This window comes from Homo sapiens, chromosome 3, assembly GCF_000001405.40.
Source record: "Homo sapiens chromosome 3, GRCh38.p14 Primary Assembly".
Taxonomy (NCBI): Eukaryota; Metazoa; Chordata; class Mammalia; order Primates; family Hominidae; genus Homo; species Homo sapiens.
Window position 1 is genome coordinate 20,668,084 of NC_000003.12, and position 1,338 is coordinate 20,669,421.

The 1,338-nt window shown below is 40.2% G+C and overlaps 1 annotated feature.

Moving 5' to 3' along the window:
* Positions 959 to 1,128: an enhancer, noted in NCBI's record as "experimental_67891 CRE fragment used in MPRA reporter constructs". NCBI's record gives its function as "activates a minimal promoter by MPRAs in K562 erythroleukemia cells, with activity observed for both the introgressed and non-introgressed 3:20710619 variant alleles {active_cell/tissue: K562}" and the evidence as "EXISTENCE:reporter gene assay evidence [ECO:0000049][PMID:34662402]".

The following is a 1,338-nucleotide window of genomic DNA, read 5'->3' on the forward strand; positions in this document are numbered from 1 at the left end:
AGATTAGGTCCTGTTCAGACCTCAGCTGGATTTCTAGTAGAAAACCTACCGTTTAAATTAGGTTGGAAATTTTAACTAGGGAAGGAAGAAACAGATTTCTGCAAAAGGACATGAATTAATGTCAGATATATGGTATAATCTCTTACATGGTCCATCTCCAACTGTAACCATTTATAGACTCTAAGAAATAACTGCAGAATCATTATGTAAAAAGGGTTGTTTTTATTCCTGTACCCAGGGGTTCAGTTTTCCTCAAAACTTTATCTAACACTAAGTTTAGTATCTTATAGATACATACTGTTTCAAGTTAGTTATTGCTATGAAACAGAACACTTCAAGACCTAGTGCCTTAAAACAAGATTTATTTATTATTTCTCAAAATCTATGGTACAACTGGGCAGTTCTGTTATCTAGGCTGGGCTTGGCCGATATCAACAGGCCTCAGTCCCGTGACTGCAGTGATCAGCTGGGGGCTGGCCAGTCTAGGAGGGCCTCAGCTGGGGTACTTGGCTCTGTTGGGTCCATCTAGTGGTAAACCCAAGTTTTTCTGATGCTTGTGGCAAGATTCCCAGAGAGATTGTGAATCTGTGCAAGGTCTCTTGAAGCCTGGGCCTGGAGATGGCATCTGGTGATTTCTGCTGCTTCTATTAGCCAACGCATGTCACAAGGCTAGCCAAATTTAAGGGGGGCAGAAAGAGAATCCACATCTTGATAGGAAGAGATGCAAAATCACATTTCAAGGAATGTATAGACAGGGAGAGGTGGAGAATTGGGGTCATTTTCCCCCTAATCTTCCAAAATATTCTCTTTTAAAAAATCAAATTGCCCACTATCATGTAAAGCCTTTGCATGCATTCTTTATTTTTTTTTCCCAGCAAGACATGCACCTATTCTTTCCACAATTTCTTCCACAATGTGTATTTTTTTCACAAATACCTTCAAATACTTGCTCTTATTCCTAAAAAAAAAAAAGTGATTATCAGCCTGAGCCCTCCACTTTTTATTGCCATCATTTTCAAGTTGCACAAACACTCTCTTGAATATGATGAACATTCATTTGACATTCCTAAGCAGGCTTACATTAATTTTAGTTCCCCACTGAATTTCAAACAGGAGCCTCCACATTGACATTAAAAATATTAACATCTGCAGTGGCACTGCAATCTGCTGAGGCGTGGATTGTTGCTCTGACTCGCCACATCTTTCCACTTGTTCTTTTTTTAGAAAGAGCAAAGCAGAGGGATTTGGCAGGGCTATTCAAACTGCCACTCAGAGCAGCTCTAGAGAAGGAAGGCTAGCCTGGACCCTATTGCGTTCTAGTTGGCAGCAAATCCTTCA